At 47.8% G+C, this 20,594-nt stretch overlaps 1 non-coding gene and 2 pseudogenes across 1 annotated transcript, besides 4 other annotated features; 1 reads left to right on the top strand and 2 right to left on the bottom strand.

The window, feature by feature from the left end:
* RPS9P2 (ribosomal protein S9 pseudogene 2) lies at positions 3,732–4,444 on the top strand (annotated as a pseudogene).
* Positions 4,083–4,583: an enhancer, noted in NCBI's record as "H3K4me1 hESC enhancer chr22:41460351-41460851 (GRCh37/hg19 assembly coordinates)". NCBI's record gives its function as "activates a minimal SCP1, AML or CMV promoter by ChIP-STARR-seq in naive H9 embryonic stem cells {active_cell/tissue: H9 hESC(naive)}" and the evidence as "EXISTENCE:reporter gene assay evidence [ECO:0000049][PMID:30033119]".
* Positions 8,586–8,695: an enhancer, noted in NCBI's record as "active region_19104". NCBI's record gives its function as "activates an Ori minimal core promoter by ATAC-STARR-seq in GM12878 lymphoblastoid cells {active_cell/tissue: GM12878}" and the evidence as "EXISTENCE:reporter gene assay evidence [ECO:0000049][PMID:35858748]".
* Positions 8,886–9,175: an enhancer, noted in NCBI's record as "active region_19105". NCBI's record gives its function as "activates an Ori minimal core promoter by ATAC-STARR-seq in GM12878 lymphoblastoid cells {active_cell/tissue: GM12878}" and the evidence as "EXISTENCE:reporter gene assay evidence [ECO:0000049][PMID:35858748]".
* Positions 13,338–13,457, bottom strand: SNORD140 (small nucleolar RNA, C/D box 140). Its single transcript, NR_132979.2, has one exon. It is a non-coding gene; the product is annotated as a small nucleolar RNA, C/D box 140 (small nucleolar RNA).
* On the bottom strand, positions 13,901–14,531 carry ACTBP15 (ACTB pseudogene 15; annotated as a pseudogene).
* Positions 14,207–14,708: an enhancer, noted in NCBI's record as "H3K4me1 hESC enhancer chr22:41470475-41470976 (GRCh37/hg19 assembly coordinates)". NCBI's record gives its function as "activates a minimal SCP1, AML or CMV promoter by ChIP-STARR-seq in naive H9 embryonic stem cells {active_cell/tissue: H9 hESC(naive)}" and the evidence as "EXISTENCE:reporter gene assay evidence [ECO:0000049][PMID:30033119]".

Genomic DNA, 20,594 nt, shown 5'->3' on the forward strand with positions numbered 1-20,594 from the left:
CTGGAGGTTAGAAGTCCAAGATCAAGGTGTTAGTTTCTCCTGGTGCCTCTCTCCTTGGCTTCAGATGGCTACCTTCCTACTGTGTCCTCGTGTGGCCTTTTTTCTGTATGTACACATCCCTGGTGTCCCTTCCTCTTCTTGTTAGAATACCAGTTATAGGCTGAGCTCAGTGGCTTACACCTGTCATCCCAGGACTTTGGGAGGCTGAGGCAGGAGGATCACTTGAGCCCAGGAGTTGAAGACCAGCCTGAGTAACATAGTGAGACCCCATGTCTATTTCTTTTAAAAAAATTTTTTTTAATTAAAAAAAAGAACACAGCTGGGCGTGGTGGCTCACACCTGTAATCCCAGCACTTTGGGAGGCTGAGGTGGGTGGATCACCTGAGGTCAGGAGTTTGAGACCAGCCTGACCAACATGGTGAAACCCCATCTCTACTAAAAAAAAATACAAAATTAGCTGGGCATGGTGGTGCATGCCTGTAATCCCAGCTACTTGGGAGGCTGAGGCAGGAGAATCGATTAAACCCAGGAGGCAGAAGTTGCAGTGAGCTGTGACTGCGCCACTGCACTCCAGCCTGGGCAACAAAAGCGAAACTCCGTCTCAGAAAAAAAAAAAAAAAAGAACACTAGTTATAACACTAGTCATACCGGATTAGGACCCCACTCTAATGACCTCATTTTAATTTAATCAGCTCTTGAAGGCCCTTTTCTCCAAATATGGTTACATTCTGAGGTACTAGGGGTTTGGACTTCAACATATGAATTGGCGGGGGAGCACGATTCAGTCCCATATATCATCTTTCCCAGAAATTTTGCCTTCATTTTTCACTGAGTCATTCAATACACGTTTACTAAACATGTAGAATGGCACTTAATGCCATGTTTGTGGATGAGGCTGTCCAGGGATAGGTTGTGGTCATAAAAGGCTAAGAATAGTGCCCTAGGGAACTCAGCCTCTTTTTCTTTCTTTTTTTTGGGGGGGTGGAGGGGTAGACGTGGGGTCGTCCTGTGTTGCCCAGGCTGGTCTCCAACTCCTGGGCTCAAGCCATCCTCCTACCTCAGCCTCTCAAAGTGTTGGGATTACAGGCGTGAATCAATGTGCCCAGCCTGAGCTCAGTATTTTCTTTTCTTTTTTTATTTTATTTATTTATTTTTGAGATGGAATGTCGCTCTTGTTGCCCAGGCTGGAGTGCAATGGTGCAATCTCAGCTCACCGCAACCTCCGCCCCCCCGGGGTTCAAGTGATTCTCCTGCCTCAGCCTCCCGTGTATCTGGGATTATAGGTGCCCATCACCATGCCCGGATAATTTTTGCATTTTTACTAGAGATGGGGTTTCGCCATGTTGGCCAGGATGGTCTCAAACTCCTGACCCCAGGTGATCCACTCGCCTTGGCCTCCCAAAGTGCTGGGATTACAGGCATGAGCCACCACGCCTGGCCTATTTTATCTTACTTTATTTTATTTTATTTTTTAGAGACAGGGTTTTGCTATGTTGCCCAGGTTGGTCTTGAACTCCTGAGCTCAAGTGATCCTCCTGCCTTGGCCTCTCAAAATGCTGGGATTACAGGCATGAGCCACTGAGCCTGGCCCTTAGTGCTGCATTTTATTTGTTTTGTTTCGTTTTGAAATAGGGTCTCACTTTGTCGCCCAGGCTGGAATGCAGTGGCTCGATCAAGGCTCACTGCAGTCTCAACTTGCTGGGCTCAAACAATCCTCCCATCTCAGTTTCCCAAGTAGCCAAGGACTACAGGGCAGGTACCACCACACCCAGCTAGGTTTTGTATTTTTTAGAAACGGGGTTTTGCCACGTTGCCCAGGCTGGTCTCAAGCTCCTGGGCTCAAGTAATTTGACTGCCTTGGATTCCCAAAGTGCTGGGATTACAGACGTGAGCCACCACACCAGGCCAAGCTCAGCATTTTAAAAGCGGGGGAGGAGAGCCCAGAAAATGAGATTGAAGAGCAGTGAAACCTCCCCATTGCCAGCACGTGAATGCTCCCTTGTTCCCCTCTCTCCCCATCCCTCTGGTGTGACAGCAGTCCCAGTTCATTCGCTTCTGATGTTGCATTCCAGTGGAGGCTTCCTCCGCTTGGAGGTCTACTTGGTCTCCAAGGAAGATGGGGCAGAGAGGGAGTCTAGACCTCCTAGGGACCTGTAAAATCTTTGGCATTTCCTCTTCGGTTCAGTCTCTATCAGCAGTGGCTGGAGGTGTTTTGCTCCTCAGTTACCAAAGGGCAAAGTCACCTCATCACCATAGAATTCATTTTCTCCCAACCTCACACCGGGTAGTCACACGAAAAATATAATTTATTCCTATTGGTAGGATTTTGCCTTGTTCACTTCAAAATGATAAAGATTCCCTGGCCTTTTTGTTCCAACAATTCATTTGCTTTTCCCCTAAGCCTTTTTTTCATAAAAATGATTAAATGACGGCCGGGTGTGGTGCTGCACGCCTGTAATCCCAGCACTTTGGGAGGCCGAGGCAGGTGGATCACCTGAGGTGCGGAGTTCAAGACCAGCATGGCCAAAATGATAAAAACCCCGTCTCTACTAAAAATACAAAAAATTAGCCACGCATGGTGGCAGGCACCTGTAATCCCAGCTACTTGGGAGGCTGAGGCAGGAGAATCGCTTGAACCCGGGAGGCCGAGGTTGCAGTGAGCTGAAATCAAGACACTGCACTCCAGCCTAGGCAACAAGAGCAAAACTCCATCTCAAAAAAAAAAAAAAAAAAAAAAAGAAGATTACCTGAAAAAGATTAAATGTAGGCCGGGCATGGTGGCTCACATCTGTAATCCCAGCTCTTTGGGAGGCCAAAGCAGGCAGATCACTTGAGTTCAGGAGCTCGAGACCGGCCTGGCCAACATGGAGAAACCCGGTCTCTATTAAAAATACAAAAATTAGCCTGGCGTGGTGGTGGAAGAATCACTTGAACTCAGGAGGTGGAGGTTGCAGTGAGCCAAGATTGTGCCGCTGCACTCCAGCCTGGGTGACAGAGTGAGACTGTCTCAAAAAAAAAAAAAAAAAAGAAAGAAAGAAAAACGAAAGATTTCCTACTTTTGGAGACCCCTGAATCCCTTGGCCTCTGCAGCACTTCTCCTCTCCTTCCTCCATGACCATGCCTTCTGAGTCGACACTGTGCTGTTCCACATACAGCCAGCTCCTTAGATGATGCGTTTCTCCAAGGTCCAGGACCCTCTTCTGTTTTAGCTTTCTCCGGTCTCCCTGGGAAAGCTCATTCACCCCTTAGCATCAAGTCTTAATTATATGCTGATACTTTCAAAGGCTAATCTCCGTTTGCAACCAATTTATCATGTTTCATATCAGTATTTCTACCTGCTTAGTGAATAATAGGGTTAGAAAGATTTTGGTTAAAGGATATAAAATTTCAGTTAGACAGCAGCACACAGTACAAGAGATCTATTGTAAAACATGTAACTATAGTTAATAACAATATGTTGTATACTTGAAAATTGTGAAGAGTAGATTTTAAATGTTCTTTTCACAAAAAAGATGTGTGTGAGTTAATGGATATGTTAATTAGCTTAACGAGCTTGATTTAGCCATTCCACAATGTATGCATATATCAAAACATGGGCCCGGCTCAGTGGCTCATGCTTGTAATCCCAGCACTTTGCGGGGCCGAGGCAGAAGGATCACTTGAGCCCAGGAGTTTGAAATCAGCCTGGGCAACCAAGTAAGACCCTGTAACTATAAAAAATTTAAAAATTGCTCTTTCTCAGTGACCGGGTTCTAGGCTTAGGCGCAGACGGGTTAGGGGAGCCAACATGCCAGTGGCCCGGAGCTGGGTTTGTCGCAAAACTTACGTGACCCCGCGGAGATCCTTTGAGAAATCTCGTCTCGACCAAGAGCTGAAGCTGATCGAAGAGTATGGGCTCCGGAATAAACGTGAGGTCTGGAGGGTCAAATTTACCCTGGCCAAGATCCGCAAGGCCGCCCGGGAACTGCTGACGCTTGATCAGAAGGACCCACGGCGTCTGTTCGAAGGCAATGCCCTGCTGTGGCGGCTGGTCTGCATTGGGGTGCTGGATGAGGGCAAGATGAAGCTGGATTACATCCTGGGCCTGAAGATAGAGGATTTCTTAGAGAGACGCCTACAGACCCAGGTCTTCAAGCTGGGCTTGGCCAAGTCCATCCACCACGCTCGCGTGCTGATCCGCCAGCGCCATTTCAGGGTCCGCAAGCAGGTGGTGAACATCCCGTCCTTCATTGTCCGCCTGGATTCCCAGAAGCACATCGACTTCTCTCTGTGCTCTCCCTATGGGGGTGGCCGCCCGGGCCGCGTGAAGAGGAAGAATGCCAAGAAGGGCCAGGGTGGGGCTGGGGCTGGAGACCACAAGGAGGAGGATTAAGCCCACCTGTCCCTCCTGGGCTGCTGCATTGTCTAGTTTTCCTGCCAAATAAACAGGATCAGCGCTTTAAAAAAAAAAAAATTTTTTTTTTTTTTTTTTTTTTTGAGACGGAGTCTTGCTCTGTCGCCCAGGCTGGAGTGCAGTGGCGCGATCTCGGCTCACTGCAAGCTCCACCTCCGGGGTTCACGCCATTCTCCTGCCTCAGCCTCCCGAGTAGCTGGGACTACAGGTGCCCGCCACCACGCCCGACTAATTTTTTTGTATTTTTAGTAGAGACGAGGTTTCACCGGATTAGCCAGGATGGTCTCGATCTCCCATCTCCCGACCTCATGATCCGCCCGCCTCGGCCTCCCAAAGTGCTGGGATTACAGGCTTGAGCCACCGTGCCTGGCCAAAAAAAAAAAAATTTAAAAATTAGCCAACCGTTGACCGGGTGCGGTGGCTCACGCCTGTAATCCCAGCACTTTGGGAGGGCAAGGCAGGCGGATCACGAGGTCAGGAGATCGAGACCATCCTGGCTAACATGGTGAAATCCCGTCTCTACTAAAAATAAAAAAACTTAGCCAGGCATGGTGGCAGGCGCCTGTAGTCCCAGCTACTTGGGAGGCTGAGGCAGGAGAATGGTGTGAACCTGGGAGGCAGAGTTTGCAGTGAGCCGATATCAAGCCACAGCACTCCAGCCTGGGCCACAGAGCAAGACTCCATCTCAAAAAAAAAAAAAAAAAATTCCCAAGCCTGGTGGTAGCCACCTGTAGCCCCACATACTCAGGAGGCTGAGGCGGGGGGATTGCTTGAGCCCAGGAGGTTGAGGCTGCAGTGAGCCGTGTTTGTGCCACTGGACTCAAACCTGAGTGACAAAGCGAGGCCCTGTCTCAAAAAAAAAAAACAAAAAACAGGGTACTGTTATGACAAGATTTTTTTTAGCCAAATTTAGCACTGGGAGGTCGTATACCAAATGTAGTGACACTAATGTTAGTAAGCTCTGACAACCCACTACCATCGGACCAGCCAAGAAGCCAGATTTGATGTTGGGCATCAACAAACATCTATGACAAGGTTCCTCTTCCTGCACCCCTTTTCTTGTTTAATGGTAATATCTTCAATTTAATCACCTGAGGCAATCCTTGTCAGATCCCCTACATCAAATCAGCCACCAAATCTCAAGATTCTAATCTATTTCTCCTCTCTATCCCCAATGACAGGTTGCCACACGCTATCTTACAATTTCACAATGACCCTCCAACCCTTACCATGTTTGCCTGCCCTACCGACTTTGGAGTTGGCCATATGACATGTTTTGAACAAAGGGATATGAGTGGACATGAATTTTGTCCCTTTTTTTTTTTTTTTTTTTTTGAGACACAGTCTCTCTCTGTTGCCCAGGTTGGAGTGCAGTGGCGCCATCTTGGCTCACTGCAAGCTCCGCCTCCCGGGTTCACGCCATTCTCCTGCCTCAGCCTCCCGAGTAGCTGGGACTACAGGAGCCGGCCACCACGCCTGGCTAATTTTTTTTATTTTTAGTAGAGACGGGGTTTCACCATGTTAGCCAGGATGGTTTCGATCTCCTGACCTCGTGATCTGCCCGCCTTGGCCTCCCAAAGTGCTGGGATTACAGGCATGAGCCACCGCGCCTGGCCTTGTCCCTTTTTTTTTTTTTAGACAGAGTCTCACTCTGTTGCCCAAGCTGGAGTGCAGTGGCGCGATCTTGGTTCACTGCAACCTCCACCTCCTGGGTTCAAGCAATTCTTGTGCCTCAGGCTCCCGAGTAGCTGAGATTACAGGTGTGCACCGCCATGCCTAGCTAATCTTTGTATTTTGAGTAGAAATGGAGTTTCGACATGTTGGCCAGGCTGGTCTTAAACTCCTGACCTCGGGTGATCCGCCTGCCTCAGCCTCCCAAAGTGCTGGATTACAGGCATGAGCAACCACGCCCGGCCTTTTTTCTGTTTTTGTTTTTAAGAGAAGGGGTGTCACCATGTTGCGCAGGCTGGTCTGGAACTCCTGGGCTCAAGTGATCCTCCCACCTTGGTCTCCCAAGGTGCTGGGATTACAGATGTGAACCACTGCACCCAGCCTGAACTTTGTCACACTTGAGCAGAGCTTGAAATGCAATTGTGCAGCTTGGCTGGGGTACTTTTGGTTAGTCCTCCTCTGTGAGAACAATGTGCCCCAGATAGTGGCTATTGTTCAGCATGGGTTCCAGAATAAGAAGATGTGTGCTGATCGGGCACGGTGTCTCACCCTGTAATGAGACACCTTCACTTAATGGCAGGCACCTTCATCCACACTACTGTCTCTGCCTGAGGCTCTGCCCTTTACTTGTCTGTCACTACTTGTCCTTCAAGATTTACCCAGGCTGGGCACAGTGGTTCATGCCTGTAATGCCAGCAGTTTGGGAGGCCGAGGCAGGTGGATCACCTGAGGTCAGGAGTTCGAGACCAGCCTGGCCAACATGGTGAAGCCCTGTCTCTACTAAAAAAATACAAAAACAAACAAACAAACAAACAAAAATTGGCCGGGCGCGGTAGCTCATACCTGTAATCCCAGCACTTTGGGAGGCCGAGGCCAGTGGATCACCTGAGTTCAAAAGTTCAAGACCAGCCTGACCAATATGGCAAAACCCCCTCTCTACTAAAAATACAAAAAAAAAAAAAAATTAGTCGGGCATGGTGGCACATGCCTGTAATCCCACCTACTCGGGAGGCTGAGGCAGGAGAATCGCTTGAACCCGGGAGGCAGAGATTGCTGTGAGCCGAGATTGTGCCACTGCACTCCAGCCTGCGTGATGGAGAGAGACTCGGTCTCAAAAATAAATAAATAAATAAAAATTAGCCAGGCATGGGTGGTGTATGCCTGTAATCCCAGCTACTTGGGAAGCTGAGGCAGGAGAATCACTTGAACCTGGGAGGTGGAGGTTGCAGTGAGCAGAGATCGTGCCACTGCACTCCAGCCTGGGTGACAGAGCCAGACTGTCTCAAAAAAAAATTTTTTTTAAAATAAGATTTACCTCCAGCCACATCTTGTATTAAGGAACCTTCTCCCCAAGTCAGATTAGATCTCCTCTCCCTGCTCTGTGCTCCTACAGCTCCTGGTGCCCACCTACCCCTCTCTTAGCATAAAGGTCACTAACGTCACCATTCCTGGCCCTGAAGTTCCATGAGGACACAGACAGGGTTGGGTTTGTCTCTATGTTCCCTAGACTTGGTGGTCTCTCATTGCAGCCTCGCCTCCTGGGCTCAAGAGATCCTCCACCTCAGTCTCTCAAGTAGCTGGGACGACAGGTGCACACTAGCACAACCGGCAAATTTTTGTATTTTTGGTAGAGATGGGGTTTTGTGGTGTTGCCCAGGGTGGTCTCAAACACCTGAGCTCAAGCAATCCACCCACCTTGGCCTCCCAAAGTGCTGGGATTACAGGGACGAGCCACCATGCCTGGCCTCAATGAAGTTTCTTAACCTCCTTCAACTTTTAATCTGTAAACTCTCATTACGGCAGTACCTACGTCCCTGGTTGCTGAGAAGACTGAGCGACGGAATCACACCAAGTCCTGGACAGGTGCTGCCCCCACAGGAAATTCTTTTTTTTTTTTTTTTTTTTTGAGACAGTCTCTCTCTGTTACCCAGGCTGGAGTGCCATGGTGCGATCTCAGTTCACTGCAACCTCTGCCTCCCGGGTTCAAGTGATTTTCGAACCTCAGCCTCCCGAGTAGCTGGGATTACAGGTGCCCGCCACCGTGCCCGGCTATTTTTTTTGGTATTTTTAGTAGAGACGGGGGTTTCACCATGTTGGCCAGGCTGGTCTCGAACTCCTGACCTCAAGACATCCGCGTGCCTCGGCCTCCCAAGGAAATTCTTACAAAATATTAGCTTTTATTATTATAATGATCCTCCATTTCCTTCATTCAGTCATCCAATCACCATGTCTGTAGATTCTAAGTTCTCAGTGTCTATTGAAACCGTCCTGTCCTTTCTGTCCCCCACCACCACCTCCTTAATCCAGCCTCCTGTCTCCTCTTGTCTGATGACTACAGAAGCTTCCTAACCCATCTTCTTCTTTTCTTTTCTTTTTTCTTTTTCTTTTTTTCTCTTTTCTTTTTTTTTTGAGACGGAATCTCGCTCTGTCATCCAGGCTGGGGTGTAGTGGCTTAGTCTCGGCTCACCACAACCTCTGCTTCTGGGGTTCAAGTGATTCTCCTGCCTCAGCCTCCCGAGTAGCCAAGATTACAGGCACACACCACCACGCCCAGCTAATTTTTTTTGTATTTTTAGTAGAGATGGGGTTTCACCATGTTGGCCAGGCTGGTCTCGAACTCCTGACCTCAGGTGATCTGCCCACCTTGGCCTCCCAAAGTGTTGGGATTACAGGCATGAGCCACCACACCTGGCGTAACCCATCTTCTTGACTCCACTCTTGCCCCTTTCAATCCTTTCTCCACATTTCTAGCATGGCTTTTTCTGAAAACCAATTTGACTCATGTCAGCTTCCGGTTGAGCTGAACTTCTTTCAGTTCCTCAAATTAACAGAGCTTTGCCCTCCTCCACAAATGCTGTTTTCTCTGCTGGGGCCTCCTGTCCCTTAAGCCACCTCCATGGACTGGCTCCTTCTTCTTTCTGCCCCCCATGTAAATTTCAGGCTGCCTGCCCACCTCCAAGACTGCTGGGTGTCCCTGCTGTGTGTCACCCTCCTCCGAAGTGCCTTGGTGTTGGTGTGCCCCGTCACAGTGCTCATCACACATCCCTGCAGTGCTGAGTTCAGGGAGTGTCTCCCAGCACCAGACTGGCAGCTCCCTAAGGCAAGGTTTCTGTTTTGTTCACCACTGTACCTCTAGAATTTAGTACAGGCCTGACATGTTAAAATCACTCGACTTACTTTTATTTTATTTTATTATTTTATTTTATTTTGAGACAGAGTCTCACACTGTCGCCCAGAGACAGGGTTTCCTCATGTTGGCCAGGCTGGTCTCGAACTCCTAATCTTAGGTGACCCACCCACCTCAGCCTCCCAAAGTGCTGGGATTACAGGCATGAGCCACTGCGCCTGGCCGTTTGACTTACTTTTCATAGGGAATACATGCATATCATAGAAAATCTGAAAGGTGCAAATTGATGTACAGTAAAAAAAAAAAAATTATATCTTTTCACCCTGATTCCCCAATCACCCACTGACTATAGCTCTATACCTTTTTAATTAATTAATTAATTAATTTTTCTGAGATGGCATTTCTCTCTTGTTGCCCAGGCTGGAGTGCAATGGAGCAATCTTGGCTCTCTGCAAGCTCCACCTCACGGGTTCAAGTGATTTTTCTGCCTCAGCCTCCGAAATAGCTGGGATTACAGGCGCCCGCCACCATGCCCAGCTAATTTTTTTGTATTTTTAGTAGAGACAGGGTTTCATCATGTTGGCCAGGCTGGTCTTGAACTCCTGACCTCAGGTGATCTGTCCACCTTGGCCTCCGAAAGTCCTGGGATTACAGGCGTGAGCCACCGCGCCCGGCCTTCTCCAAGATATTCTATGTGAAAACAAGCATATATGCATATACACTCTGGGGATTATCGTATATTTTACACATATTCTGCACCTGATTACTTCCTTACTTAATATTGTGTCTTGGAAAATATGCATTTTCAGTGTATATAAAATGGATTTTTAAAACTCAGTATACTGTACCTTTGTAAAGATGTATCATAAATTGTTTAATCAGTCTTCATCACTGGGCATTTAAGTTCTTTATTTAAGTTCAAATAAATAATAAATTACCACTCCGTCACACAGGCTGGAGTGCGGTGGTGCAATCACGGCTCACTGCAGCTTCAACCTACTGTGCTCAAGCAATCCTCCCTCCTCAGCCTCCTGAGAAGCTGGAACTACAGATGCGTGCTATCACGCCTAGCTAATTTTTTTTTTTTTTTTTTTTTTTTGGTAGAGACAAGGTTTCATCAGGTTGTCCAGGCTGGGTTTTTTTTAGCATTTTTTGTTTGTTTGTTTGTTTGCTTGTTTGTTTTTTGAGACAGGGTCTCATTCTGTCCCCCAGGCTGGAATGCAGTGTCATGATGAGGACTCACTACAGCCTCAATCTCCTGGGCTCAATTGATCTTTCTGCCTCAGCCTCTGAGTAGCTGGGACTACGGGCACACACCACCGTGTCTGGCTAATTTCTGTATTTTTTTTTTTGTAGAGATGAGGTTTCATCATGTTGCCTAGGCTGGTCTCCAACTCATGAGCCCAAGAGATCCAGCCACCTTGGCCTCTCAAAGTGCTGGGATTACAGGCCTGAGCCACCTCGCCTGGTCAAGTTCTTTTCAAAATTTTGCTATTATAAACAATGTTACCCTGAATATCCTTGAACGTGTCATTTCACACGTGAGTATATCCATAGGACAAATTCTGAAAAGTAAAGTGGTTGAGTGAAACTGTACACACACTTTTTCTTTTTTGTTTTGAGACAGTCTCGCTCTGTTGCCCAGGCTGGAGGGCAGTGGCGCAATCTTGGCTCACTGCAATCTCCGTCTCCCAGGTTCAAGTGGTTCTCATGCCTCAGCCTCACAAGTAGCAAGTGCCACTATGCCTGGCTTTTTTTTTTTTTTGGTTTCGCTCTTGTTGCCCAGGCTGGAATGCAATGGTGCGATCTTGGCTCACCGCAAACTCCGCCTCCCGGGTTCAAGCGATTCTCCTGCCTCAGCCTCCTTAGTAGCTGGGACTACAGGTGCCCACCAACATACCCGGCTAATGTTTGTATTTTTAGTAGAGATGGGGTTTCTCCATGTTGGTCAGGCTGGTCTCAAACTCCCGAACTCAGGTGATCCACCTGCCTCAGCCTCCCAAAGTGCTGGGATTACAGATGTGAGCCACCACACCCAGCCTAATTTTTGTATTTTTAATAGAGACAGGGTTTCACCATATTGGCCAAGCTGGTCTTGAACTCCTGGCCTCAAGTGATCCACCAGCCTCAGCCTCCCAAAGTGCTGAGATTATAGGCCCGGCCCACACACTTTTTTTTTTTTTGAGACAAAGTCTTGTTCTGTCGGCCAGGCTAGAGTGCAGTGGTGTGATCTCAACTCAGTGCAACTTCTGCCTCCTGGGTTCAAGCCATTCTTCTGCCTCAGCCTCCCGAGTAGCTGGGACTACAGGTGCACGCCACCATGCCTGGCTAATTTTTGCATTTTTAGTAGAGATGGGGTTTCACCATATTGGCCAGGCTGGTCTTGAACTCTTGACCTCGTGATCCGCCTGCCTTGGCCTCCCAAAGTGCTGGCATTATAGGCCCAGCCTCACACAATTTTAATAGTGCGTTAGATATGCCAGACTGCTTTCCACTGAAGTTCACCAATTTACACTGTGATCCATACATTCTTCACATGACTGTCAACATGGTATTATTAAATGCTTTGGTTTTTGGCCTATCTGATAGTGACAAAAAGAATATCATTGTGGTTTTGTCATATCTCTTTTTATAGTTGAAGTTGAACATCTTATCATATACTTAAGGTCCATTTGCAAACTTAAAGGGCAAATAATAAAGTGGAAATTACAAATCATATCAATGAGACAAAGACAAACAAGAAATTGAAAAAAAAACTTGAACTGGAATGTTACAAAAGAAGAAATCCAAATGGGCAATAAAGGAACTACCAACTGAAAATTAGAATCAGCCAGGCATGGTGGCTCACGCCTGTAATCCCAGCACTTTGGGAGGCTGAGGTGGGCGGATCATCTGAGGTTGGGAGTTCAAGACCAGCCTGGCCAAAATGGTGAAACCCTGTCTCTAGTAAAAATACAAAAATTAGCCGGTGTTGTGGCGTACGCCTGTAATCCCAGCTACTTGGGAGGCTGAGGCACCAGAATCACTTGAACCCGGGAGGCAGATGTTGCAGTGAGCCGATATCGCGCCATTGCACTCCAGTCTTGGCAACAGAGTGAGACACTGTCCCCAAAACAAAACTAAACTAAACTAAACTAAAATCACAATAAAGCACCATTGCATGCTCATCTGAGTGTTTAAAATTAAGAAGTCTGTGAAAACCAAATATTGCCAGTGAAGTGGAGCAGTGGGAACTCTCACACACTGAGAGTAGAGGGAACTCTCACACACTGGGGCAGGAGTATAAATTGGTGAACTGTACAGACAAGTGGTTTAGCATTATTTAGAAAAACTGAAGATATACACACCCTTTATCTCAGCAATTCCATCCCTAGTATACGTACTCCTTGACGAAGCCTTCCCTATGTGTTCCAGGAGTCTTATAAATTATCGTTTAGAGCAGAAGTGTTTCTAATAGAACAAAAATGGAAAACCTAGCTAGGCTTGGTGGCATGCACCTGTGGTCCCAGCTACTCAGGAAGCTGAGGTGGGAGGACCACTTGAGCCCAGGAGTTCGAGGCTGCAGTGAGCTATGATCTCACCACTGCATTCCAGCCTGAGCAACAAACACAGTGAGACCCTGTCTCTAAAAATAAGAAAGCGGGGGGGAGCCTCAAATGTTTGTTCATAGTAAAGTGGCAAACTAAATTGTGTTTCATTAATACAGTGGAAATCACACAGCAATGAAATGAACAAATCACAGCTTTACACATCAATGTGGCTGGATTGCCAAAAGGAAAGGGAATAATGGTGACGGGAGTCGGTGTAGTGATTATATCTTCAGGGAAGCAAAGGGTATATTGGAAGGCCACACAGTCGGGAGTTGATCTGCTAAGACTGGCTATATTTTATTTCATGGCCTGGGTAATGATTACACAAATGTTGGCTTTATCTTTAAATTGTACTTATTATATTTCATATATGCCCTGTGCGTATGATTGCCAGGGTTTGAATGTATATGTTCCTCCAAAAAATCATGTTGAAATCTAGTCACCAAGGTGATGATGTTAGGAGGTAGGGCTCTGGGAGGTGGTCAGGTTGATTAGGTCATGAGGGCAGAGCCTCTGCCTTTTTTTTTTTTTTAAGGTGTGCACTTTTATTTAACTTGGTCTCAAGTCAGTGTACAGGTAAGCCCTGGCTGCCTCCACCCACTCCCAGGGAGACCAAAAGCCTTCATACATCTCAAGTTAGGGGACAAAAAAGGCGGGGCGTGAAGGCTGATCATTCAAAATAAAACAAAATAAAAAAATATTAAGGCGAAGATTTAAAAAATTTTGCATTACATAATTTACATGAAAGCAATGCTATGATCTCCCCTGTGTGGACTAGGGAAAGGACCGGGCCATTCTCCTTAGAGAGAAGTGGGGTGGCTTTTAGGAGGGCAAGGGGCTTCCTGTAACAATGCATCTCACGATATTTGGAATGACTATTAAAAAAAGAGCAATGTACAGTCAAAGTCCTCGGCCACATTGTAGAACTTTGGGGGATGCTCGCTGCAACCAACTGCTGTCTCCTTCACTGTTCCAGTTTTTAAATCCTGAGTCAAGCCAAAAAAAAGCCCAAAACAAAACAAAACAACAACAAAAATAAAGCCATGCCAATCTTATCTTGTTTTCTATGCATTAGGTTTTGTCAAGAAAGTGTGTAATGCAACTAAGTCACAGTCCACCTAGAAGCATTCGTGGACGATGGAGGGGCCGGACTGGTCATACTTCTGCTTGCTGATCCACATCTGCTGGAAGGTAGACAGCGAGGCCAGGATGGAGCCGCTGATCCACACGGAGTACTTGCGCTCGGGAGGAGCAATGATCTTGATCTTCATCATGCTGGGTGCTAGGGCGGTGATCTTCTTCTGCATCCTGTTGGTGATGCCAGGGTACATGGTGGTGCCGCCAGACAGCACTGTGTTGGTGTACAGGTCTTTGCAGATGTCCACGTCACACTTCATGATGTAGTTGAAGGTAGTTTTGTGGATGCCACAGGATTCCATGCCCAGGAAGGAAGGCTGGAAGAGCGCCTCGGGGCAGTGGAACCGCTCGTTGCCGATGGTGATGACCTGGCCATCGAGCAGCTTGTAGCTCTTCTCCAGGGAGGAGCTGGAGGCCACCATGGCCATCTCCCGCTCGAAGTCCAGGGCGACGTAGCACAGCTTCTTGATGTCACGCACGATTTCCCGCTCGGCCGTGGTGTGAAGCTGTAGCCGTGCTCAGTGAGGATCTCCATGAGGTAGTCAGTCAGGTCCCGGCCAGCCAGGTCCAGAGGCAGGATGGCGTGGGGGAGAGCATACCCCTTGTACATGGGCGGTACGGACGGAGGCGTACAGGGACAGCATGGCCTGGATGGCCACATACATGGCTGGGGTGTTGAAGGTCTCAAACATGATCTGGGTCATCTTCTCACAGTTGGCTTTGGGGTTCAGGGGGGCCTCGGTCAGCAGCACAGGGTGCTCCTCGGGAGCCACATGCAGCTTGTGTAGAAGATGTGGTGCCGTATCTTCTCCATGTCGTCCCCGTTGGCGATGATGCCATGCTCGATGGGGTACTTCAGGGTCAGGATGCCTCTCTTGCTCTGGGCCTCGTTGCCCACATAGGAGTCCTTCTGACCCATGCCCACCATCATGACCTGGTGCCTGGTGCACCCCACGATGGAAGGGAAGATGGCCCAGGGGACATCGTCACCCGCGAAGCCGGCCTTGCACATGCCAGAGCTGTTGTCAACAACGAGCGCAGCAATATCATCATCCATGGTGAGCTGGCTGGGGGTGTGGACAGGCAGCCAAGCGGCGAGGGTGAGGCTCTGTGCTGCGGAGCAGACGCAGTCTCCTTTTTTTTTTTGAGGCAGAGTTTACTCTGTTGCCCACACTGGAGTGCAGGGCTCAACCTCCTGGGTTCAAGCGATCCTCAAGCTCCCTGGGACCACATATACACGCCACCATGCCCAGCCAGGTATGGTGGTTCACGCCTGTAATCCCAGCACTTTTGGAGGCTGAGGCAGGTGGATCGCTTTCAGCTCAGGAGTTCAAGACAAGCCTGGCCAACATGGCAAAACCCAGCACTTTGGGAGGCCGAGGCAGGCAGATTGCTTTGAGCTCAGGAGTTAAGACAAGCCTGGCCGACATGGCAAAACCTCGTTTCTACAGAAAACACAAAAATTAGCTAAGTGTTTGTGGCTCGAGCCTGTAGACACAGCTACATGGGAGGCTGAGGTTAAAGAATTGCTTGAACCTGGGAGGCGGAGGTTGCAGTGAGCTATAATCATGCCACTGCACTCAAGCCTGGGTGACAGAGTAAGACCCTGTCTCAAAAAAAAAAAAAAAAAAAAAAGAGGTGGGGTGGGTGGGGAGTTCAACTTTGTTGCCCAGGCTGGTCTCAAACTCCCAGGCTCAGGCATCCCAAAGTGCTGGGATTACAGGTGTAAGCCACTGCGCTGGGGCCTTATCTCACAATTTCTGTGGATCAGGAGTCCAGGCATAACTTAGCCAGGTCCTCTGCCCAGGGTCTTCCAGGGCTGCAATCAAGGTATGGCCTGGGCTACATTGTCATCTGGAGGCTCCAATGGGGAAGAATCTGCTTCCAAGCTCATGCAGATTGTTGGCAGAATTCATTTCCCTGTGGCTGTGTGGCTGAGGGCCCTGGCTTTTTATTGTTGGCAGGAGGCCTCTGGCAGATTCTAGAGGCCACCCAGAGTTCCTTGCCATGTAGGCTTCCTCAACATGTGGGTTATTTCATCAAGCCAGCAAGGAGAATCTACTGATTCAATCTGCTAACATAGAGTCTTATATAACATGATATAATCTGGAAGTGACAGCCCACCACCTTTGCCATATTCCTTAGAAGTGGGTCATAGGTTCTGCCCACATGCAAAGTGAGGGGATCACACAAGGATGTGGACACTAGGAGGTGGGAATTATTAGGATTCTCCTTAGGGTTAATCAGCTACAACTGCTTATTGTTTTGGAAGGTGTTGCCTATTTTTTTCCCTTTTTTTTTCTTATCAATTTACAAGACCTCTATAGATTAAATAAACACACCCTTTGTTTGCCACATAAGGTGCCGCTTCAATACTTTTTTTGTTTTTGTTTTTGAGACAAAGTCTCACTCTGTTGTCCAGTCTGGAGTGCAGTGGTGCAATCATGGCTCATTGCAGCCTCGACCTCCTGGGCTCAAGCGATCCTCCCACCTCAGCCTCCTGAGTAGCTGGGACTACAAGCACCACCACACTTGGATAATTATTTTTATTTTTAGTGGAGATAGGGTCTCACTATGTTGCCCAGGCTGGTCTCAAACTCCTGGGCTCACGCAATCCTCCTGCCTCAGCCTCCCAAAGTGCTGGCTTTACAAGTGTGAGCCACCGTGCCTGGCCTCAATACATTTTTGATAAATAAATAAATCACTTAATGAATATCTCTACTGGTTTTTCTACACATTTGGCAGCAGCAACAATGATTTCATCAGCCTTATCAAGAGTCTATTTCTCTTACCAAGAAAGCTGAGCTAGGTCAAAGCACAGAATTTTACTGAGGTTCAAGAATTTAAACTGAGGTACTGATTTGGATTTGATTTAAAATTGCATTTACTTTGATTTATGCAAAATGAATCAAAATAGTACAAAAGATCAACCTTCAGTGAGGCTGCAAGGAGGAAGACAAGGCAGGCATTCCTCTTGTGTCTCATGGAGATGCACCTGAAGCCCTGTGGTCTTGGCATCCCATATGGAATATGATGTTTGTCAGGTTGGAGGAGCATGGAACGGTGAAGGCTTGCTGTCTTTTTTCTTTTTTTTTTCTTTTTATGAGACAGAGGTCTCACTATGTCATCTAGGCTATCGTGCAGTGGCACAATCACAGCTCATTGCAGCCTTGAAATCTTGGGCTCTAGTGATCCTCTCTCCTTAGTCTCCCGAGTAGCTGGGACTACAGGTATGCATGTGCCACCAAGCCTGGCTAATTTTCTAATTTTCTGCAGAGATGAGGTCCTGCTGTGTTGCCCAGACTGGTCTCAAACCGCTGGCTTAAATGATCCTCCCACCTTGGCCTCCCAAAGTGCTGGGACTACAGGCATGAGCCACCATGCTTGGCCAAGGCTTGCTGTCTTGTATGCCTCTAGCAACCTTGATACCCCCAAAGTCTTACATCACTAGGCAGTGCCATACATTCCCCTCTCTTGTAAGCCACGTCACCAGTGCCCATTGTCCAGGTGCTGGGCTTTACGGATTTGCTGTGCCAGCCCTGGCCATGTCCCCCTTACTTGTGCCTGGACTGCAGAGCCAAGCAGTTGTCCAATTATTTCACACAGGCTTCTTCCTTTTGCCCAGGAAAACCACTTGGAATCATTCAAGACTCAACTCCTGGTGGGGTGTGGTGGCTCATGCCTGTAATCCCAGCACTTTGGGAGGCCAAGCGGGTGGATCACGAGGTCAGGAGATCAAGACCATCCTGGTTCACATGGTGAAACCCCCGTCTCTACTAAAAATACAAAAAATTAGCCAGGCATGGTGGCAGGCACCTATAATCCCAGCTACTCAGGAGGGTGAGGCAGGAGAATCGCTTGAACCTGGGAGGCGGAGGTTGCAGTGAGCCGAGATCAAGCCACTGCACTCCAGCCTGGGCAACAAAGCAAGACTCTGTCTCAAAAATAAATAAATAAATAAATAAATAAAATAATTCAGCTCCTAGGCTGTCTCCTAGAGGAACATCAACATTTCCAGGGCATGGTAGTTACACCATCACCTTTGTGTGAACCTCTGTGTTAACTTCCACTACAAAATTCTGTCATTGGGCCAGGTGCGGTGGCTCACGCCTGTAATCCCAGCACTTTGGGAGGCTGAGGCGGGCGGATCACGAGGTTAGGAGATCGAGACCAGCCTGGCCAACATGGTGAAACCCCGTCTCTACTAAAAACACAAAAATTATCTGGGTGTGGTGGCGCATGCCTGTAATCCCAGCTACTCGGGAGGCTGAGGCAGGAGAATCGTTTGAACCCAGGAGGCAGTGGTTGCAGGGAGCCGAGATCATGCCACTGCACTCCAGCCTGGTGACAGAGGAATACTCTGTCTGAAAAAAAAAATACTGTCATTGATCTATTGTTTTATTGTGTTTACATTTCTGTTTCACTAGATAGTAAGACCCTCAAGGACATGGACTGAGTCTGATTTTCCTGTGGTCTTGTTTGTCCAGCTGTCCATGCATGATCTCCATATGGGCATCCCACAGGCACATCACCATGCCCACTGCTGAACTCATCTGAAGCACTCTCTGAATGTCCATACATCACCCAAGCCTCTATCATTGCGTCTCCCACATGAGCTTGCTGTTTCCTATTTATGAGTCTGACTCTCCTACTAGGTAGTGAACAACTGAAGACAGAAACCAGGTGAGTTTCATTTGTTCTTCTATCCCTGCTGCCCAACACAGTGCCTGCCACATAGAGGTTAATTCATGTTCATTGAACTGAACCAGATATTTGTATCTTCAGGGCCAGTTACCTAAGAAATGCTCAAGACCTGTTTGTTACATTACATTCTAGAAAAGATGCTTCTCCCAAAGCCTTCTGCCCACCCTCCTTCTCTGGCAGGCTTGGATTAACACTGAGAGCCAATAGTTTGTCACATAGCAACAATAGTAAAGAATGAGCTACTGCCGAATAGAGCAGATGCTTGCCTGCTCCAGAGAGCAGAGCAGAGCTATTTTGAGATCCTTTAGGTAGAGTCACAGTCTGATAGGTCCACCCATTGTGGCTACAGTTACCACACATGGCATCAGCTTAGGGGGTACAAGGCATCAAAAAAATCTTATTTGCATATCAGTTTCTTTTGCCATCCTTTGGAGAATCCTTTTAGAATATAAAGGACTAGGCCGGGTACGGTGGCTCATGCCTGTAATCCGCGCACTTTGGGAGGCAGAGGCAGGCAGATCAACTGAGGTCGGGAGTTTGAGACCAGCCTGACCAACATGGAGAAACCCTGTCTCTACTAAAAATACAAAAAAATTAGCTAGGTATCGTGGCACATGCCTGTAATCCCAGCTACTTGGGAGGCTGAGGCAGGAAAATTGCTTGAGCCTGGGAGGCGGAGGTTGCGGTGAGCCGAGATCATGCCATTGCACTCCAGACTGGGCAACAAGAGTGAAACCATGTCTCAAAAAAAAAAAAAAAAAAAAAAGGAAAAAAAAAAGAATATAAAGGACCAAATTTTAGGTATTTTTTTATAATTTTCTAATTATGAAGTCAATTGGGCTTTTGTTTATAATACTGTTAACATTTTAATATTCCACTGAATTACTGTACAGATGTGCTAATTGATAGATAAGATGACCACATATTCTAGGGCCGGGCGTGGTGGCTCACACCTGTAATCCCAGCACTTTGGGAGCCCAAGGCGGGTGGATAACCTGAGGTCAGGAGCTCAAGATCAGCCTGGCCAACGTGGTGAAACCCTGTCTCTACTAAAAATACAAAAATTAGCTGGGCATGGTGGTGCATGCCTGTAGTCCTAGCTGCTCAGGAGGCTGAGGCAGAAGAATCGCTTAAACCCGGGAGGCAGAGGTAGCAGTGAACTGAGATCGCACCACTGCACTCCAGCCTGGGTGACAGAGTGAGACTCTGTCTCAAAAAAAAAAAAATGACCACATATTCCAAAATAGGACCCAGGTGTCCTATATTCCAAAAGGCAGGACCCAGGTGTCAGCCCAAACTTCCCAGCATCATACCCATGGCCCTCTGTTGTCTGGCTGGGCCCACCTTTTCAGTGTCCTCTCCTGCCTGGGCACATGATGCTTTACCCATGGTGAGCAGCATTCAGGCACCAATGTGACAGGTGCTTATGCTCATGCATTATCCATCTATGTTTGCCTTGAGGGAGCCCCACCACTCTGGCCAGTAACTATTTATTTCTACAAGCTTCTCTCCAAGTAGATGGTGTGTCACCAGGACAGGAACAGTGTGTACTCCATCTTTGAATTCCTAGTACCCAGCACAGTGCTGGGCGCAGAGAAGAGGCTTCATAAGGGTTGGGTTGGGGTATAAAGAGTGCAAGTTCTGGCCAGGCATAGGGGCCCATGCCTGTAATTCCAGCACTTTGGGAGGCTGAGGCAGAAGGATGGCTTGAGGCCAGAAGTTCGAGACCAGCCTGGGTAACACAGCGAGACCCCGTCACTACAAAAAATACAAAAATTTTGCTGGGTGCAGTGGCTCACGCCTGTAATCCCAGCACTTTGGGAGGCTGAGGTGGGCAGATCGCTTGAACCCAGGAGCTCAAGACCAGCCTGGGCAACATGGAGGTCTAAAGCAAGTGAAATGTCCTTCATTAATGAGTACAAAGACTTACTCTCCCTCTGGTTTAAAGTCTCTGCTAAAAACAGAAAAATAA

Source organism: Homo sapiens, chromosome 22 (genome assembly GCF_000001405.40).
Source record: "Homo sapiens chromosome 22, GRCh38.p14 Primary Assembly".
Taxonomy (NCBI): domain Eukaryota; kingdom Metazoa; phylum Chordata; class Mammalia; order Primates; family Hominidae; genus Homo; species Homo sapiens.